This window comes from Homo sapiens, chromosome 15, assembly GCF_000001405.40.
Source record: "Homo sapiens chromosome 15, GRCh38.p14 Primary Assembly".
NCBI classification, from domain to species: domain Eukaryota; kingdom Metazoa; phylum Chordata; class Mammalia; order Primates; family Hominidae; genus Homo; species Homo sapiens.
In genome coordinates, this window is record NC_000015.10 from 60,957,627 (window position 1) to 60,979,013 (window position 21,387).

Below are 21,387 nucleotides of genomic sequence, written 5' to 3' on the forward strand. Positions count from 1 at the left end.
TGCACATATACTAATTATTTTGAAATAGCCTGACTGGAGGTCAGGAAGGCTTCCTGGAGGAGGTCACACCTAATCTTAAAGGGTAAGAGCTAGTTAGCTAGAGAAAGGGGGGACAGTATGACAGAAAAGAGAAGAACATAAAGAAGATAGAGACTGTTCTAAAAGAGTTAATTATCCTAGTGAACTGCTACATTTTCTTCTCAAATATAAATACTTGGTCCCCAAATATAATCATATTATGTCCCGTACTTTCCATGATTTATCCTATAAGGAGCTTTGTAAACATAACTAATACTCAAAATGACCTATGAGGCATGCTTGATTTCAGAGTCTTTTTTTTTTTCCCTAATCCAGGATACCTTGAAATGAGAATAATTAGCCAACTGCTTTGATTCAATGTCTCCTTTGAAATTGTTCGTCTACTTTATTTCTTCAATTGGATAAATAAATTATTCAGAAACCTGACTATGGGAGCACACAAATCTAAAATCTGAGCTAGAATTTTGGTGGGCAAAAGTTCATATCTCATTACAGAAGATGTTTGATATAAATATTAATTTTCCTAAAGTGGTGATGGCAGAGATTTTATACAAAGGATGTTCATATTGGATTAAACACCAGATTCAAATTACCTGAGCCTTTGCGTGCATGGAGCATCAAATTCCATTTCATCTTGATAAGAAGCTGCCCTGGAGAGTCATTAGGGATTTAGCAGGCTAATGTGGTCCACTGCCCCCTTACCAAAACATATGACTGTCTAAAATATTATTTATGCCTTAACTGCCTTGCCTAGAGGTGGAGAGGAAAGTGGGATTTTATAATATCCCATATAATATAAATTTTGCCCCTGAAACTGAATAACTGTATATTAATTGCCTAGCGTAGATGCTCATTCGATTATACCCAATCTTCCCAACCACTCTGGGAGGCTGGAATTTTATCCCTGTTTTAAAAATGAGGAAACTGGAGCACAGAGAAATTAAGTATCTTATTCAAGGTCAAATAATTGAGACTTAGCAACCATTGTTGTGAATAATAAAGGAAATAAAACGCATGGAAAATGCCTAATCTGGTGACTGACAGCTAAGAAATAATGGCAGCCGTGGCTGTCATTAAGAAAATCTACCATCCACAAAAATGTATGGAAAGTACATTTGGAATGTGTCCTGTGGGAAGATGATTCTTGATTGTGGGTCAGGATATGGCACAATCTGAGACGTCCACTCAGTAGGTTTGCACAGCAACTTGGCTCAGGCACATTCTTAGGTGGCTGGCAAGGAAGACCTCACAGAGGCAATGGCCCATACTCTCTGCACCAGAAGAGCAAGAGTCCCAGCAACCAACTCTCTGCCAACAAGCCAGACATCGAAACTCTTCAAACACCATCCAAGTCTGAAAACTGCACACCTATTAAAGTTGTACCTGCAAAGAGATCCTTATGGACATATTCCAAGGCTGTAGAATTTTGGAAACTTCAAAAGCTAGAACTACCAGCTTGCTTGGTACAGCCATTGCCATTAGGTACTTTTGTGTAAGAGGAATAGAAATTGTTTCTTTTCCTTGCTTTTATGTCTACTGGACAGAGGACTATGGCTGCTTGACTCAGTGTAACAGAGTGACAAGTAGGAAACTGACCCAAAGAGATCTAACAAAATATACATTAAAAAATCATTTTCCTGAAACATTCAAATAATTTCAAGTATGTGGCATCTTAGCCTGACTAGTCTAAATTCTAGCACTCTGAAGGAAGGGCTTACTGGAGTCCTAGTTCAACCACGTACCTGATAGTGACTTTGTTCCAATGTCTTTATCTTTAAACTAACGTATTAGGCAACATCAGTGTGTCCTGAAACACACAAATGTTGAAAGATGTTTCCAGGAGCCTTAAAATAAAAGGGTTCTTTACAAAAATAAACAACAACAACAACAAATCCTATAGATATGGCTCATGTTTGTATCCTTTCTTGGAGAGTCACCGTGCTAATGGGAGCATATTAAAGAGCCTGAAACTCCAGATGCAGACATATTAGTGTCCTTCAAGTCATCATTTCCACATTTAGTGGGCCATGAAGTGTGACACCTTTAAACACCCTGGGAAACTGGTAGGACGCATTTGAAAAAACACCGGATTAAATGGTCCTGAAGGTTCTTCTACTGCTGCATCCCATGATCCTCCAGAGAAGGCTTTTTTTTGTTTTGTTTTGTTTTGCCATAAAGGTTTATGGTAGAGACATATCTGTGAAAAATCTCTCAATTCCTCTCCCATCTAGCACTTGTGGCCTCCTTCTCATCTCTCTTTCCTGGCCTTGGGGTAAGGGTGCGGGCTTGCCATGCAAGAGGAGGTATCCTCTATACTTCCCTATAGCCAGTATAGATTGTAAAACTTTCCTTTGAAACCCCCTAAATAAATGAAAACAGGATTTTTTTTGTGTGTGTGTGGAATGAGGAAAAAAATTGCCTGAAACTAGGATATGAGGTTCTGGACACTTCCTGGTTTACACAGCCACCTGGCTTTACCTCCCTCTCATTGCTACAAAGACTAGATTGATTTTGTGGTCCCTTCCCACTCCAAAATTACATGATGCCATAGAGACATGTTAAAGAAGAATCTTTATCATAAAATCATTAGCTTACGGCTGGCACATTTAACAAGCATGGTGCTCTCATGCAATTCCTGTAGCAAAGACAACCTCTACAAGCAAATGAGCCAGCCATTTCTACTTGTTCTCCTGAAACCATCCTCAAAGGTGGGGGACTCTCTTAGGAAGTAGCAGCTGAGATAGCACTTGAGATAGACACAGATTTAGGCAATACAATTGTCCATCTGATTAAAAAGAAAATACCTGCTCAAAAAATAGTCTTTGGCCTACTGGAATGGCTAATTAGGAGTCTGTGCAGCTGATCTACTGAATGGGGCAGCGACTAGAGAGTTACACGATCAGGAGAGATGAATTGCAGACACACCAGTTTCTCCTTAAAATCCATTTTCATCATGTTACACTTTGGCACACAAATCTTTTTTTTTTTTTTTTCTAAAAACAGTTTTCCCTCTTTCCTACTGCACGAAGTCCAAATTCCTCCAAATGACTTCTACGGGCCTCCAAAGGCTGGCTTCACTTGATCGCCTCTGGATTTTAACACATTCGCTTCACTCTAGACTGTTTCACTCTTTGGTCTCCCTGCATCACCACCATCATTCCTCCTTTTTAGCTGTGTGCTTTACAGGTATTATTTCAAATAACCTCAAAGCAACCCAAGAGACCGACACCATTGTTATCATTCCCATGTCATAACTGGGAAACTGAGGTTAAGTAACTTACCCAAGGTCACACAGATAGCAAGCAGCAGAACTGCGATTTAAGCCAAAGCCATCTGTCTCCAGTCTTCACTCTTAACTCTCAGTTTATATAGGCTTTATTCATCTTCTTTCCCAAGTCTGACCACTCCATCAAGGTCAAGGGCAAATCTCACCTCCTTCAGGACATTCTTAGATCTCTCTGGCCTCTCACCTGGCCGTTCCATTTGCTACACTTCCCCACATAACATTTCTTTTCTCATGTTGTGTCATGCTGATCTCTGTGTGCATGGATTCTGATTGGACTGTTAGTCACCTGAAGCTGGGGACCAAATAAAGCATAACTCCTATATCTGCTACAATGCCCTGCATGATGTAAAAGGTACATCATGCACAACAGAAATCTGTTCACAGAAGAGTTCTCTGATGGTCCTATAAAGGCATTGCTCCAGCCTCAATCTTCCCACCTGAGATACAGGTACACCTGGTCCTTGAAGCCAAGATTCACAAAGATAAAAAAAGGTAACAAGAAGAAAATGTTTATCACCCATTGATATACGTGACAGAGACTTAAAAGTCAAGTGCCGATAATATGAAGTAACCACACTTGTGTTGCCATAAAGCGTCTCAGCTGCTACTTTAAATTTGGCCTAAGATATGAATGGGCAGGAGCCTCTTTCCTTTGAAAGACTTTCCCGGCTCTGAATGGGCCAAAGGAAAGGAGGAGGGAGGAAGAGGGGAAAGAAGCCATTATGGCTTTAATAGTTTAATCCACCGATATATGTTGTCGACCTGGCCGGCCTCCAGGAGCACTGAGAACCGCCAGCTCAAGCCAACACAAGCACATGCTAACTTGATGGGCAGTGTAATGAGACACAGATTGTATAGCTGAATGTAGGCACAAAGCCCTCATCAGGTTTATGGTTCCTGGGGTCCCAGCCTGAAAACAGTAACTGACACAGGCACCACATGCGCTGGGTTTAGACATATAAACACGGAAGGCCTGCGAATATATATGTGAAAGGTGCTGGGGTTTGTATTTGTTTGGCCCAGTGCATGAGCTGCAGATGGGCAGATTCTGTTGGAACATTGAAAGGTGCCCCGGTCCTGACCGAGTGCTGTTTTCTTCTTACTGTGACCACGAGGCGAGAGAGTGAGAGTGAGCTGCTTTGAATTCCGAGTATCTTTGCTTTTCTGGAAGTTTTAAAGTTGAGCTTTCTTCTTCAATGCCTTCAATTATCACAGTGCAAATGATTATATTCCCAGCACCTCCACCCAATAGCTACAGAAATTTGGCATTTCCTGTCCTGACTAGAAAATGACCTGGCACAGACCGAGCGTAAGCCTGGCTCTTCAGCTTTTTTCCTGATGCAGCCTTTAACTCATTTCCCCTCCCCACTTTCTAACTGCTAGAGAAACAAGAGATTAGTGCAGATGGATGGAAATATTTTTTCCGCTTCAGCACTTGCTGTCAGAACCAAGTACTAAGAAGGTTCTCAGACAGTGTCTCAGGCAACCTGGAAATTCCCAAACTCATCTTAAACAATATTTACCTGGTCCCAAAAGGAATGCACAGACCAAAGAAGCTGTTTTCTTCTGAGAGCAGCCCCTCGACATGCCACTTAGAGTTCTAGTCGAGGCTGGACTGCTCCCCGCTCTCCTCCACTTTACCCTAGCTGTTTCAGAGCTGTCCTTGAAACATTAGCACACCATTTTAGAGACCATAAAATGAACACTTGGCAGCCTGAACACGTCCACCTGCCCAAACATGAATGTTGCTCTTCACTGAAAATCATGGTCCCCAGGAGCCAAGGGTTGTAACACTCTGTTGAGAGTGGTGGCATGGTCTTTGTCTGAAAGGGCTGACAATCAAACTGGGAAAACACAAGCCTTGCTCAGAAGAATTGGTAGCAAGAGATAAAGGCCAAGGAAGTCATAGAAAATAGGTGCACCTTATGTTCAAAGTAAGTGGTTGCAGGAGATTGGGAAGACAACATGGAGGTGGTACCATTTGTGGTCATGAAAAATAGGTAGGGTTTTAAAAGGTAGGAAGAGAGTATTACTTTCAAGGGAAATAGCTTAAGTAAATGTATCTAATCACCTCTATGTTCCTACTACCATGATGCCTATAAGCAGCAATCATACTGTGTACCAGACACTCAGATGCTCTACATGCATATGCATGGTACATAGCGTAATTCTCAAGCTTATGAGGCAGATATGACTATCCCCATTTACGCTTCGAAGAAATTGAACTTTTCAGAGGGTAAATGACTTGCCCCCAAGCTGAATAGCCAATGGGTAAGATCAGCTCTGATTCTAAAGTGTGTGCTCTTAACTGCTCAAAGGCATAGAAGTTAGAATGTGCAGATGGTGCAGGGGAGCCCCTGTTGCAGAGCACAGGCCTGAGGCATGGGTCATAAGGCACTGTTGACTAAGCAGAGGTCTTAGGCCTGAATAGCAGAGATGAGGAATGATGGAGGTGGATGATGGAAGCAATGGTTGAAAAGGGCCAAGTCTGCAGGGAACCTACAGAGGTTTATGTTAATTTCTCTTGGGCCTAGAGCAATTATCTGGGTGGTGGTGGAAAGGATGCTGGCATTATCTAGGTTGTGGCCCCTTGGCCTCCTGGACGGGGTAAGCCAATAAAGAAATTGCACTTATTTGTGAGGTTTCCCTTGCATTCCTCTGCTCCTGTGCACCTGACTGCTGAAGGCATCCCCCTCAGCTTCATCTGAAGCCCTTTCTGAGCACTATGTGTTGATGAAAGTGTTCTACTAAATGCTATAGAACTCAGCGGGAATGGCCCAGTTAGCTCTGCTAGCACATTCCAGGAGACTCTGGCAGACAGGTGTGGATTTCAGCCCTGGCTAACATGAACAAGCTCAGGTTCCTCTGCAGTATCCTAGCCACAGTAGGAACTCTTCACAAGCTTTCTGGCTGGGATATTCAAGGGGAGGTTCATCAGTGGGTGGCTTAAAGCCAAAGATTTATATCAAATTATTCCTTATGTCTAACTTAAGGGAATGGAGAGACATGAAAAGCAAGGTGGATTTAGCACCTCTTATTTGCAGGCAGCAGTGTACCTTCATTTCACACTTTCTCTCACATAAAACCCCTGTTGTCCTGTAAGATAGGAATCATCTCATTTAATAGACTGGGAAACCATAGCCCAGAAAGTCTTAATAATTTGACCATGGTCACATAGCTGGTAAGTGGTATAGTCTGGTTTCAAGTAGAAGTTCATCTGATTCCTACCCCTGAATGGTTTTCCCATTCTGTTGAAGCCATGTTGGGGCTCTATGGAATATTTTTGGTGCCTGAGGCATTAATATGCCTATCTGTATAAGATGAGGTGTGGTGTCCAGATGAAGAGGATACCCCTGGGTAGCCCATTTCTTTATGAAGCAGAGATCCCAGTTTGAGCCTTACTGCTACTCACCCTAGGATTCGGGTATGGCTGGTGGAAGGTTGGGGAGGCTCTAGGGTGCTTCCTGGGAAAGCCCTCCTCTGAAAAGAATGAGTCTTGAGAGGAATAGTGTGAGGGTGGGGATGGAGCAGAGGGGAGAGGGTCATGCTAAGATTTCATTCTGCTCCTTTCCTTGTAGCCATATACCTGAGTCCTGGGGAGAGACAGAATAAGATGGCTAGTAAATACTCCAGGGCCCTGGGGAGTGTAGGGAGGGCAGTGCTGCCTTGTGGCAAATGCAGGTGAGTACAGCCAGCAAGACTTGGGGTGAGATGTCCTGCTGGCACAGCACACTGTGGCCTGAGCAGTTGCCAAGGGAGCTTATGAATGCACTGGGAGGAACTAGTTGAGAACACTGCTGTCTGTCTTCAATCACTGCAGCCCTTTGGCAAAGAGCGCCACAGTTGCTGATGTGGGAGGAAAGGGAAGTGGTGGCTGGAGTGGCCACTGAGAGGATGGCTTCAGAAGCATATGCAAGTGACCCTTCTGGGAGAAGCAGTGGTGCAGGGGCAGTGGGTAAGGAGAGCTCTTGTTTGAGACTCTTGGGAACCATAAGTTGCACTGAATTACGCCATACTAATTATGCTATGGGGATGTTCCCTGGACCAAAGAGAAGCTTCTCTTGCTCTCTCCCTCCCTGTAGCAAACATTTATTGAGTGCCAACGATGAACCAGGCATAGATTAGGTTCTAGAGATTCTGAGATAACTATAGGATGAAGTTATCCCTCAATGAAGATACCTTCTTAGTCCAACAGGACTAGGGTATTATGGGCCTTGGGTACTGCAGTGATCTTTAAGCCCATCAGCACCAGTGGAAGCCCCATGTCCCGCCACCAGTTTTTGACATCTTGGAGCTCATGGTCCACCCTTCCTTCCCAGCATCATTTTTCAATACCCTGTCATAGAGCATCCCAGCAATAGAACACAAATGGCAAAATATCACCCTCTTCTCAGTCCTGTTGCTTCTCTCACCACCTAGTTAGTGTCCTGGTGTTGTCCCAAGGCCCAGTAGTCAGGGCCCAAATCCAAATGTAGAATTAGCAATGGTCTCTGTACACTGGGCTTAAAACTAAATTCCAGCATTAAGGAAATGCCTAACTGTATAATTACATGAGACACAGAGAGTCTCACATTGGAAGAACTTAATATATCTGAGCAGAAGAAGAAACTAGCCCAACACAAAGCCATTTTACATCTTTGTAAAACAAGACAATTCAATAAACATGACATCAAGGGGAATGAGTCCTCTGGAGAGGGCAGAAGCCTCTTTCACATTGATGAAGCTATTAAGATGCAAAGAAGGTTGCAACTTGATTTCTCTGTTTGCAAGCGCTATTTTTCTCCCCAAGCACTGGTTTCTTTAATTTTCTTTTTTCCCTGAAACACTAATTATGCCAACCTCTTTCTCTACTCAAAACCTGACCAAACCTTCACCCTGTCTCACACTTATGACCCTACTACGAACCCTCCCCAATCAGGCCAGTCCATTCCCTGTCCATGTGCTAGAATTTTAATATATATGTATTAGTTTGCTAAGGCTACCGTAATAGAGTATGGCAGCCATAACCAAGTAACCATAACAAAGTAACCACCCAGTCTGAGTGGTTAACATGACAGAGATTTACTGCCTCACAAGGCTACAAGTCTGATATCAAGAAGTCCACAGACCTGGTTCCTTCTGAGGATGGTGAGGGAAGGGTCTGTTCTAAGCCTTTCTCCTTGGCCACTCAATGGTCATCTTCTCCCTCTTTCTTCATATCACCTTCTCTCTGTATCCACATTTCCTCTTCTTATAAGGATATCAGTCCTGCTGGATTAGCACCTACCCTAGTCACTTCTTTTCACTTAATTACCTCTTTAAAGACCCTATCTATAATATGGTCACATGCTGAGTATGGGGATTAGGACTTCAACATATGAATTTTGTGGTGAGGGGACACAATTCAACTCATAATAATACTCTCTAGACATGGCTTTCTGATTGGTTTCTGGAAGATGAGTTTTATTTCCCAGCTGGCTCGCACATTCCACCAATGTGATTCATTTCTGTTTTCACAAAACTTAATGGCTAGTTGACTTAATATTTAAAATTTGTAAGCTCCAAGAAAGAAGGGACTGTACCTTTCTTGGGAGCCAGTGCTAATCCTAGAACAATATCTGGCACATGGTAGGAATGTATTAGATGAATGAATAAGTAACCAGAATGTTACACAGTGGGATTACATCCCTCTGACCTTCCAGAGACTGGCCTTCTTTCTAGAGAACAACCTGACCTTGGCTTTCACTGTAAGAGAGAATGCTTCTACATTTCTGATAAACCTGGTATGTTGTAAATATGTTGCATCAGCCACAGAAGTAAACACATGCTAGCAACAACAGGCAGTCAAAATACTCTTTAAGTGTGATTGAATAGAATTCTGATTATACAGTTTAGCCAAGGAAGTCGGTCCAGCTCAGCACCAATTTTCACTGTCAAAGCCAATTTGAGCAACTTGGGACTGAGGTTTAAACTCTCAACTGCCATGATGTTTCTGCAGGGCCATGAATCGGTGTCATAGCTTTAGGATATTCCACTCTTCTGCCACCTCAGCAGAATGATCCTGGAAATACCCTAAAGCAGTGCATTACCCAAAATGATTATCCATGAGTCCAACTGGGACCAACTCCCTATCTTCTACAGGGCATGGAGATAGATTCTAATTAGTAGCAGAACCTGAAGTTAAGAGTTCCTCAAGACACATCATGACTTTAAGTCCTTGCTATTTGTGTATGTATATAGATACTTAAATATTTTTTGTAGATTTTTTAAAGCATATGACATATAATTTTTGTTATACATCGGCATATATATTTATGCATTGACAGATGTACCATATTTATATGCATGTTTACAAATATATGTTTTCACGTATCATGTGTTCTTTTTAGCCTCTACTTCATTACCCCTACCCCCAAATATTACCAATTAACAGAGAATTTGAATTGGGAATCAGCATCAACAAAATGTGACAACATCGAATGGAGCTAGGAGGGACAGAAGCAGTTAAAGCAAAGAAGTGCCCATGTCCCTGGTTATGTCTATCATTATGACGTGCTCCTCTCCATCCAAAATGACTGACGGGCCTGTAATTTGTTGTTGCTGTTGTTTTGGCACATATTTGCAGAAACAAACTTGTTCATGGTCCCCCTGCTGATAGCTCAACCATGCAAGTGCCATAGGAAACAGACTTTGGCATTTGAGCTGCTCACAGTCTGGGTCATTCATAAAAGTTTAATTTTCTAAAAATATTCAGTGAGGTGCTTTTCCTGAATGAGATGACTTCTGGTTCATCAACGTATTTATGTGAGTAAATAGAAGGCAGATCAGTAAGTCAGGAATCTAATCAGCTATCATCCAGTCCATCTGGTTTAATTAGAAAGCCCAGCCGCTCACAGGCACCTTTTAGTAAAAGGCTTCAGTACTGGTTCCAGAAAGGCGGGGGTGCTTCTGAATGTGGTTACAAATGCTTGCCATCTCCCCTGCCTCCACAGAGCCCCTTATCAAACTCCCATCACAGAACACACTTGAAACATATCAGTGCATGCCTCTTAAGGGCATGCAAATGAAGCTAAAATGTGGCACAGGGGAAACACCACTGAACATCACGGCCAGTCCCTCAATTCATTCGATAAGCATCAACTTAAGCACCAATAATAAATATGTATTGGTGCTTACGCTATTCCAGAGACTGTGTGAATGAGCTTTGGACTAACCCTGGTTGGGGAGATCAGGACGTAAACAGATAATTCCCAAACTCTGAGATGCACTCTAAGGTATTGAGGGAGCCCCAGGACTGGAAACCTGCTGAGCTGACTCTGGAAGGGCACTTGGGAGCAAATATGGACAGAAGGGGAGCAAGGAAGGTTATAGCCAATAGTCCTTAAACATACGCATGCACCAAAACCTTGGTGCATTACAAATTGTGGGTCCCACCCTCAGAGTTTCTGATTCAGGAAATCTGGGGTGGGGCCAGAACATTTTCGTTTCTAACAAGGTTCCTGCTGATTCTAATTCTGCTGGTTTGGGGACCATACTTTGAAAATGGGCTAATAGGGCCAACCCAGGCTCACACTGGAATCAACTGGGAGCTCCAACAGCTACTCAAGCCTGGGTCTCCTCTCTGGAGTTTGTGATTTAATTGGTTTTGTATACAAACTGGATATCAGGGATTTTGTCTGTGTGTTTGTATTTTAAAAATGTCAAACTTACAGAAAGGTTGCAAGCACAACATAAATCTTTTTTTTTTTTTTATTAACTGAGCCATTTGAGAGTAATTTGTTGTCTTGATGTCCCATCTTTCTTTGTAGTGTATTTTCTTACAAATAAGAACATTCTCCTACATAACTAAAATATAAACATCAAAATCAGTAAATTCGCATCAGTACATTACAACCACTCAAGTTTTGGCAAATGTACCCATCATGTTTTTGATAGCAAAATGATCTAGTTCAGGATCACAAGCTGCCTTTAGTTGTCATGTCTCTTCTTCCTCAATCTGAAACAGTTTATCAGGCCTCCCTTGACATTCATAACCTTAACACTTTTGAAGATTACAAGACTGTTATTTTAAAATACGTCCCTCAATTTGGATTTGTCTAATGTTTCCTCGTGATTAGATGCAGCTGTACATCTTTGGCAGGACTATCTCAGTAGCAACTTCTTACTGTACCCTATGAAGTGGCCCATGGTTTCTGTGTGTCCCATTACTAATGATGTTTACTTGGGTCACTTGATCAAGGTGGAGACTGTCAAGCTTCTCCACTGTAAATGTACTCATTTTCCTTTTGTAATTAATAAGTCCTTTTTGCAGAGTTCTTTGAAATTATGTAAATACTTTGTCATCAAACTATCAATTCATTAGGTAATAATCTGTATCACAGGAAATCATGGTTTCCTATTTTGTATATTAGGTTATAATCTGTTACTATCATTATTTCTTTGAGACCAGTGTGGGCCCTTCAATCTGGCTCTGACTTCTGGGTTTTTAAAAGCTTTTTGGGTGATTCTAATGTGCAGCCATGCTTAAGAACCACTTCTCTAGGTAGACCAAAGCACCTATATTCAAAGGATATTCACAGGATTGCAGGCAACATGCAGCAGCCTCAGGGAACTGCAAGGTTTTCAGTGTGGCTGGTGGACAGGATGGAGAAGGAGATGAAGACAGGGAGAGATTCAGTCTTTAGATTCATCTGAGCCCAGACAGCCTGATCATCATTATCTCCGATGACAGCATCCTATCCCTCTCTACACACCAAGCTATCACTCCATACACGATGGTGGTACTGCCTCACAGTTAGGTACATGGTTTTCAGCATAAGGGAGGGGGTTTGAGTTCCTGCTCCAACACTTCTTAGCTCTGCAACCTTGCACTAGTTTCCTGTTATGGGCTGAATGTTTGTGTTCCCTTCCAAATTTATATTTGGAAGCCCCATTGTGGCTGTATTTACTCATGGGGCCTTGAAGGAAGTAATTAAGGTTAAATGTGGTCCTGTGGGTGATGCCTGAATCTGATAGGATTAGTGTTTTCGTAAGAGATACCAGAGAGCTCATGTATGTGCACTCTTGCACGCGCACTCTCTTTCTTTCTCTCTCTCTCCAAAAAGAAGCGGGGAAAGAAGAGGTCCTGTGAGCACACAGCCAGACGGCAGCCGCCTACCAGCCAAAAGAGGCCTCAGAATGAAACCTACCTTGCTAGCACCTTGATCTTGCACTTCTCAGCCTCCAGAACTGTAAGAAATAAATGGCTGTTGTTTAAGCCACTCAGTCTATGGTATTTCCCATCTGTAAAATGGATACTAATGGTCCTATCTCATGGAGGTCTTGTGAGGTTTAAATGAGAAGGAAACAAAGTACTCAGCATGCTCTCTGGTTCTCAGTAAAGGCTTAACGAGTGTCAGCTATTGCTTCACTTGTCCTCAAACACACCCTGTACATTCCCACTTCTCTGCCTTTGTTCATCATCAGTTCAATTCCGCAAACATTATTTCAGCAAGTCCCCACTGCGTGCCAGGCATTGTATGAGGTCCTGGGGATATAGAATGCAACAAGACCTCGTTTCAAGTCCAAAGCCTAGAGTGAAGATGCTCCCCACTGCTGGCCTTGGTGAAGCTGTTTCAGATTCCATTTGGAATAAAGGGACTGATTCACAAGAGGAAATAGGAACTTGGTTTGAAACCTGTTTCACAGCATTGGGCTGCTGAGAAAATGAGTAAATCATAGGATTAGATCCAACAATTTCTCATAGTATCCCTTGGTTTTATGATATTCATATGGTAATAAAGCCCTCTCCCCAGCTTACCAGTAATTATCTGAGGCCCTCCAAACTAATACGGTTGTGTATTTTTTCCTTGACGATCACAGAGATTTTTTTTCCCTTTGTGTTGGTCTCAGGTATAAGAAAATCACACTCTAAAATGAAAAGAACTGTGAAGCAATTAAGCAAAAATGGAAGGGCCTTCCTATGCTCCAGTGAAATTCAGACAGGAGAGAGACAGAAACATTCCTGAGCCACGTGCAATCATCACTTATAGCAGGGGTTCAACTGACTCATGTTGGAAGAAAGCATAGTCATAATTTTATACTTCCTTTGGGGGCATAAACAGAGAAGTACTTTCTTTGTTTTTGGATGAGAACTAAGTTAGGATGAGGGAGTCAAAATGAGTTTGAGAAGATAAAATATGAAGAGTCCAAAATGTCACCCAAAGTCCATATTGAAGCATGGAAAGGGACATCATGCCATGTGTTAGAGGAAACTCAGCTTTGGCTTGGACACTTTTACAGAAGCCGCCCTCCTCTGGACTCCCCTAACACTGCATTTGTATCTCCACTACTGCCTTTCCCGATTTCCTCTTTGCTTTAGAGTGTTTGAGTATGTTCCCTCCTAGACAGTGAGTTCCTTAAGGGAGAAATTCCTCTCTCATGGGTCCTTGCTGGTGTCTCCCATGGCCTAGCACAAAGCAGGTGCACACTCCCCACTCCCAGGCCCGCATGTCCCTAACTGCAGTGGGTGGCTGGGCACACGGAGGATGCGGATGTCCAACATTTGGCCTTGGATCCAGACATATCGTGCTTTTCCCTGCTGCTGGAAATTCCCACTCTGTATGGTTTTTCTTAATATCTCTGTGATTCTTCTCCTCACTCCATTGCAATCCTTAAATATTTTTCCTCTTCCCCTGTATCATTCTCGACCTCAGAACTAACCTTTCTGTTTATAGCCACCAAGCTCCCTTTTCTTCCTTTCTTAAAGCATTTCTGCAAACCTCTTAAAAGCTCTTTTACAGACATGAATGGTGGATGAAAGACCCTGCGGAGGTGTTCACTAAAGAGTCACATTCTCCTTCCTTTTGGCCAGTAAGAATGTTTAGGAGAGATGTGGATGTTCCTTCAGTTCACAGGCAGAACTTGCTCACATTGGGCCAGAGAGAGGGTGTGGAGCTCCTGACACTGGCCCTCCCACCATTGGGCTGTCTGGGCCAGGGCAGTGGTTCCCAAGCTGCATTCCCTGAAACCTGAAGCTTCCTTGGCCCTCCAGGCCTAAGGAGAGAACAAGAATGGGAGAGGAGAGTGGATGGGGTCATGCCTCCCGAATTCATGCTTCAAACACAGCCACTCTGCCTTCATCTGTTGTACAGATTAGGCTTCTCTAAGAGATCCGGGAAGAAAATAAAAATGGTGCCACTGCTCAAATATTTTGTAAGCCATTGGAGTAGTGGGAAAAAACAGCCAGTCAGATCAATTGAATGTTGGCAAATCCTTCCTTTAAGGGTAGATTGGATTTGCATATTGGAAACCATCAAGAGCCACTTGGAGTCAAGCCTGGTGAAAAAATAATGTGAGCACAAGGAATAATAATACCACTGGAAGGCAAAACAACAAGGACAACAACAGCATAAAGAGCAGGCTGCAGCTATGATATAAAAATACGCATGTGTATGTGTGTAGCTCACGAAGCACTCCCGGGAGAAACTCCCCAACCAAGCATCTGTGATACTGTTGGAACAAGCACATAAACTGACCTTACAAGGTGATGACACTGAAGCTTGGAACTCACTGGTATGCATAAATTCTCCTGTTCGTTATGAGTATGGCTGAGTGTTCGTTATGAGTATGGCTGAGTGTGTGTATGCATGTCTCACTGCACGTTTCACTATTTTAAAATAAAGTCCAAAATTTCTCTAGTCTTTGGAGAAAAAAAATGCCTCGTGGTGTTTAGTCTGGATTTAAATGCTGCTCCAATGCTTACTGGCTGTGTGATCCCAGGAAAATCATTTCAACTTTTCTAAGCTCAGTTTCATCATCTATCAAATGGAAATAATAATATTACTTACTACATAGGGATTTTGAGAAGTTTAAATGTGGTAAAGCATGTTGATTCGTCAGCATAAGGACTGACAAAAGAATAAGTTCTCTTAATAGTTGTGGCTCTTAGTATTATAATTGCTATTATCATTATCCTCTGACCTGAGTATACCTGACTCCAGCATACCTGGCCAGAATGCATTCAAGATCCCCTTCTCTCTTCAGTTAATAGATGAGGTCTTTAATTGACTGAGAAGCATTTGGGAGAAAAAAAAAAAACAATCAATGAGGGGCAACTTTGCTAAGTCATCCGATGACTCATGGGAAATCCGGAATTAGAACAAAAAGTAGAGGCAGTTTGGTCAGCAGGGCATGGGGAGGACACGCATTTAAGCCCCATGTATTTTGGTGTGTGGAGACGTTGAAAAAAGAGGTAGGGAGGGTCCTGGAAAGGAACATGAAAGATGCTGAAACCTGAGGGCATCTTAAAATCACAGGTTCACTCAGTGTCAGAGTGAGATCTGTGAGAACCCTCATTCTAGTCTACACACCGTGAGGCCCAGAGAGGTGAAGTTTCCTGCCCAAGGTGGCCCAGCTCCTGGGTGGATGAGCAGTATTTAAGCACTTGCTTATCTCCTGATTCAGGAGCCACTGACTTTTTCCTGCCACCTACCCAATTTCTCTGCCACCCAGAGGGCTCTGTCTGAGCTAAAAGGGTTTATGAGGGTCGGGCAGGGTGGCTGAGCAGCCTTCGCCCAGTGCTCTGAAAATGCTCTGGTTTTTCAAGTCTGCAGCCTCAAAGCGTAGCCTGCAGTAGTTCTCCTGTCTCACCTTCTACTAAAAATGTTCACTCTGAAACTTGTAACAGTGGTGACCTCTGACAAACGGCACATCCCAGCTGTTAACATTATTCGGCTTACAACAGAAGTTGCCCTCACGACCCTTGTAGCCAGGCCCAGGGAGGAGGTGACACTGTCAGGGCCAGGCCTCAAGAAGAACAAAGAGAAAACTCACCTTGGCACTCAAGGTCTGGGAACGGCTGGTGGCTCGATCAGGCTCCCTGCAATCACTCCCTTCTGTAACCGTGGGTCGGAGACATGAATGCTGCCTCTGGACTCGCCAATTAGGCCCAGCCATGGGGCTGCGGAGCCCCACACAAGGAAACCCTATTAGCAATTAGCTGATGGAGGATCACTTTATACCAGGGCTTATTTTTAGCACACTGTCACCTTTTCACTGGGGCCAAACCTTTTGTATCCAATCCATACCTGAGTTGCAAGACATTGCATTTCAAACCTCTGTTAATTGACTTCATTAGTTAATGTGCTGCTCCTTGAATCCCGGGGGTAAATGAGCAGATGAAGAAGACTAATTTAAAGAAAGTCTGCAGACAACAGAGGAGGAGGGATGCCCCTGCCCCCACCCTGGCCCCCGTGGAACCCACGTCAAGGAGCATCAGATTCTCCCCAGGCTTAACTCCATTAGTCATCCCTGAGTCCTCTAATGAGCTTAGGTTATTTCCTGTTTTTCCAGGTTTTGATGAAGGGAGCTGTCATAGGAAATATGAAGACTGTGTCTGTATCTGAACCCCAAAGCAGCTCTCTTCACCAGCACCCCCTTGCCAGCTCATTTCAGTTCAGTTGTTTCACCTCTCAGGCTCCTTGTCTATACATTGGGAAAAATTGCTGCCTCACCCATTTCTCCCCTTCACACAGCCAGCCAGGTAGTTCTGAGGAGCAAAGCCCTGCTAAGGAGAGTGTGATTAGCTCCCTGGGGTGATAATGGAAGTCATTCACTCTGCTTTTTCTTTGTGGCTCCTAAGTTATCAGGACCCTTAAGAGCCAAAATATATGAAAAATTTGTTCTGGAGTTTTAGCCCTCTAAAGGCCTCATTCATTCCACGTGCACTGAGTCTGTGCCAGGTTCCTTGTAAGCGGACAGGTATAGAGAAATCCCAAACAAGGCCCCCCAAAGCCACAGATGAGTGGCAGCATCATACAACTTAAATGCCAGGGCCTGGCCTCATCCTAGAACAGCCTCCACCCCAGCGTGGGGCAAGGGGACCACCGTATCAGGTAACTTTTCCTGAAGGAGGGGCCCTCACAGCTTACAGAACCTTTGCAAACAAAGATTCAGCCAGTGAAGAAAGGGAGGTGGCTTTCCTAGGCGTTGAAAAGAGGATGGGGAAAGGCTGGCACATCTGGGGAAGGGCAAGCAACACTGTTCGGCTGGACATGGTGAACAAGTGTGGACCTGAAGAGGTGGGATCTGGGCAGGTGGGCCAAGGCCAGACTGCAGAGAGCCCGGAATCTTTCCTGAATGGGAGGGGAGCTGAGAGGCTACTGGGATTTCAACAAGGGAAGAAGCATGATGAGGCACACGTCTTAAAAAGATAACTGTGGAGAGAGTCAAGGGCGGAAGGGGCCTGGGCAGGGTGAGCACAGATGCCCTTGGAAGCTGCTGCACCTAGCAGGGCTTGGGGAGCAAGTCGCCTGGGCAGGGAGTAATGGGGGCCTAAACAATTTCAATCCGTCATAACATACATTGTGAAGATATGCAAAGCTTTAGAAGTGAGATCCGAAAAGAGAAAGCAGGCAAACCGAGTACTGGGTGCCTGATTCTAGGAAGGTGTCCCGGTCTGCCAAGTTCCTTCCCAGGCTGAGTCCTGTCACTGTCAAGGCATCTTCCTGGATTTGTCAAGTAAGGCTTGAGCTCTGACAGACCTTCTGGAAGAAGTCCATTTTCAGTTTGCCAGACTTAAAAAAACAGTAAGAAAATTGGATCCTAGAACTCACTCTGGAGAACACTGAAATGAACATGTGGGGTCCTATTCAGAACATGTTTGCCTTGAGTGTATGGAATCTGGGTCACCTTCACTGAAAGCCCCTCTCCCTCGGAGGCTAAGCTGGATTTCTGGGGCCCTCCACTTCTCTCCAGGAAGTGAAGGTAATCATGCGTATGTGTGAGGAGTCAGAGGATGAAGAGTGAATGAATGGAAAATAACTGATACAGTGTTAGGCTGGGCACAGGAAACGGGAGACCCCTAACAGAGTTCCCTGATTCTTACATGCTTGACATGTGTCCCCTCTTACTTCACAGCCACCAACACTAAACACATGCACACGTGCATACATACATGTGCATACACCCACATCTCAGTTCCAACTCTCAGCTAAGAGTTGGCATTTGCATTTTGTGAGGTTTTCTTGGGAGGGGACCTTTCCAGAGAGCCACAGATCCCCCTACACTCATCTCTTCTCCTCACCTACCAGCAGGGACTGGCTTGGGCCATATAAGCTGGAGGACTCATGTAACTTCTCTTGCTTTAAGGTACTTTGCTGGAGGTGGAGCAATTAATCCACAACTCAGCCCAGGGAAGCAGACAGCAGATCGTCATTTCACTAATGAGATTGCTGAGCCGTGGCTCGGAGTGCGTGGGCCTGGCCAGGTGGAGACTTGATGCTGGCAGGAGGGGCGTTAGAATCCTCACCTACCTAAGCCTGTGGTGGAGCAAACAGCCCTGCGGGACTCAATGCGTGTAACCCTTGGATTTTCACCCAACAGTTCTGCAAGTCTCTTTCCTCAAATAAACCATCCCCCATCTGCATAATATGGAAGCTAAGTAGATCGCCCACAAAGAAAAGAGAACAATCCTGTATAAAATGAGGAAGCCAGACTAAATAATTCCAAAGTGTCTTTAGGCAAATGCAGACCAGAATACAGCATACTGAAGATGGATCCTTCTAGACCCACTCCTTCTGCTTGTCTGGAAAGCCCAGGCCTGCCAGCATCAGCGGCGACATTTCAATTCTGCCAGTTTGATCAGACCACGTGGATTTTCTCTCTCCAATACACCAGCTGATAATGAAGAGACAAATGTTAGCTAAGGCAGCCCTGGTCAATCCCAAAGTCCTTAGATGCAAAAGACAGGGAAGGTGCTAATCATCTCAGGAGGAGACCCCAGACGGGCTCATTAAAACCATTATAAGAAATCCCTATCTCCCCCACCACACCTCCAAGGAAACCCTGACCCTGGTGAGTGAGCAGGGATTGCAGGGGCTTCCCTTGCACCAGTTCTTTTGGCTTAGGAGGGAGGACATGGCCCAGCTCACCCACCACCTGCAGCAGCAACAGCAGCAGCCATTACCTTTGAAATAATCCTCGCTCGCACACCAAGTATTTGTTATGAGTCTGTGCCTGGAAGTAAATATCACTTCTGTTTAGGTGACCATGTGTCCTGGGTTTCCCAGGACAGTCTGGTTTATGCCTGTTGTGCTGACACACATATGATTAGTACCTACTGCCATGCTGAAAAGCGTCTTGTTTGGGCAATAATGTATGTGGTTACCTAAGCTCTACCAAGTTGTTTCAAAACTGATTGGAGGGAAAAAAAAAAAAAAAACCTATAGCGCCACCAACAATTAAATTATAAGATTATTTTTCCAAGATCACAGTGACTCAAAGTTTTCCCTCATAGATGTTATATATTTAGTTTGAGGTACTGGTGGGGAGGGGGTCGTAAATGCAATTCAGTGTTATAAGATTAGACAAGCAAGAATGGTATTCTGTAGCCTTACGAAATCACAAACACATGTCAGTCGTCAGTTTAACAAAGGATCCTCTGTTTAAAAATAAAATGTTATGCTAAAAACAAATTACATTTAAGTAAGTATATAATTATACTTATTTTTAAATGCTTTCCTATGAAAAGAAAGGTTTTCCTGTTTTTTTAATGAGATACCATTCGATAATATAAAATTAACCATTTTAAGGTATACAATTCAATAGTTTTTGGTGTATTCACAGTTGTGTATGACCATCAAGACTATCTAATTCCAGAACATGACCCCAAAAAGAAACCCCATAGCTGTTAGCAGACAATCCAATTCCCTCTCCTTCATCCCCTGGCAACCACTAATATATTTTCTATCTTGATGACTTTGCCTATTTTGAACATTTCCTATGAATGGAAGCACACTGTATGTGTCATTTCATGTCTAGCTTCTTTCTCTTAGCATAATGCTTTGAAGGTTAATCCATGAGGTAGCATGTATCAGTATTCCCCTCCTTTTTATAGCTGAATAATATTCCTCTGCATGGAGATACCAGATTTTGCATGCCCATTGATCAGCTAATGGACATGTGGTTTGTTTCCACTTTTTTGCTATTACAAATAATACTGCTATAAATATTCAATGTACAAGTTTTCATGTGGACATATGTTTTCAATTCTTGGATATATACCTAGGAATGGAACTGCTGGGTCAAATGGTAACTCTATGTTTAATTTTTTGAGGTACTGCCAAACTGTTTTCCACAGAGGCTGGATCATTATACATTCCCACAAACAATGATTACGAGTTCTAATTACTTCACATCTTCTTCAATCTTTCTTATTTTCTTCATCATCATCATCATCATCATCAAGATCATCAACATCATCATCATCACAATCATCAACATGGCCAGCCTAGTAGGTATAAAGTAGTACCTTACTGTGGTTTTGATTTGCATTTTCCTAATGAATAATTTTCATGTGTTCTTTCATGAACATCTTTTTGCAGTGGCTTTTTGTGTATCTCCTTTGAAGAAATGTCTATTCACACCCTTTGCCTATTTTATTTTAATTTAATGATTCAGTTGTCTTTTTGTAGTTGAGCTTCAAGAGTTCTTACATATTTTGGATACTAATCTCTTACAAAATATCCTATATACAAATATTTTATCCTATTCTATGGGTTGCTTTTCACTTTCTTGGTAGTGTCCATTGATTCACAAAAGTTTTTAGTTTTGTTGAAATCCAATTTACCAATTTTTTTCTTTTATTGCTTATGTTTTTGGTGTGACACTTAAGAAACTATTGCCTAATCCAAAGTCCTGCAGATTTATACCTATGTTTCTTTCTAAGAGATTTATAACTTTAGATTTTACATTTAAATCTTTCATCTATTTTGAATTCCTTTTTTGTACATAGTATGAGGTAAGGGTCCAACATTATTCTTTTGCAGGTGGCTATCCAATTGTCCTGGCAACATTTATTGAGAAATTTCTCTCCCATTTGACACCCTTGTTGAAAATCAATTGACCATACATGTATGTATTTCTGTGTGGACTCTCAATTCTATTCCATCGGTCCATATGTCTATCCTTATATCAGCACTACACTGTATTGGTAACTGTGGCTTTGTAATAAGTTTTGAAATCAGGAAGTGTGAGTCCTCCAACTTTGCTCTTTTTTTTTTTTTTTTTTGAGACGGAGTCTTGCTCAGTAGCCCAGGCTGGAG

General features: G+C 43.0%; 1 protein-coding gene across 2 annotated transcripts in view, besides 1 other annotated feature; it reads right to left on the reverse strand.

Moving 5' to 3' along the window:
- Positions 1-21,387, reverse strand: part of RORA (RAR related orphan receptor A) — a 741,019-nt gene that overhangs the window by 469,343 nt on the left and 250,289 nt on the right. The window lies entirely within an intron of this gene.
- Positions 15,207-16,406: an enhancer, noted in NCBI's record as "MED14-independent group 3 enhancer chr15:61265032-61266231 (GRCh37/hg19 assembly coordinates)". NCBI's record gives its function as "activates an origin of replication core promoter dependent on BRD2, BRD4, P300/CBP and CDK7 cofactors, and independent of MED14, by STARR-seq in HCT116 cells {active_cell/tissue: HCT116}" and the evidence as "EXISTENCE:reporter gene assay evidence [ECO:0000049][PMID:35650434]".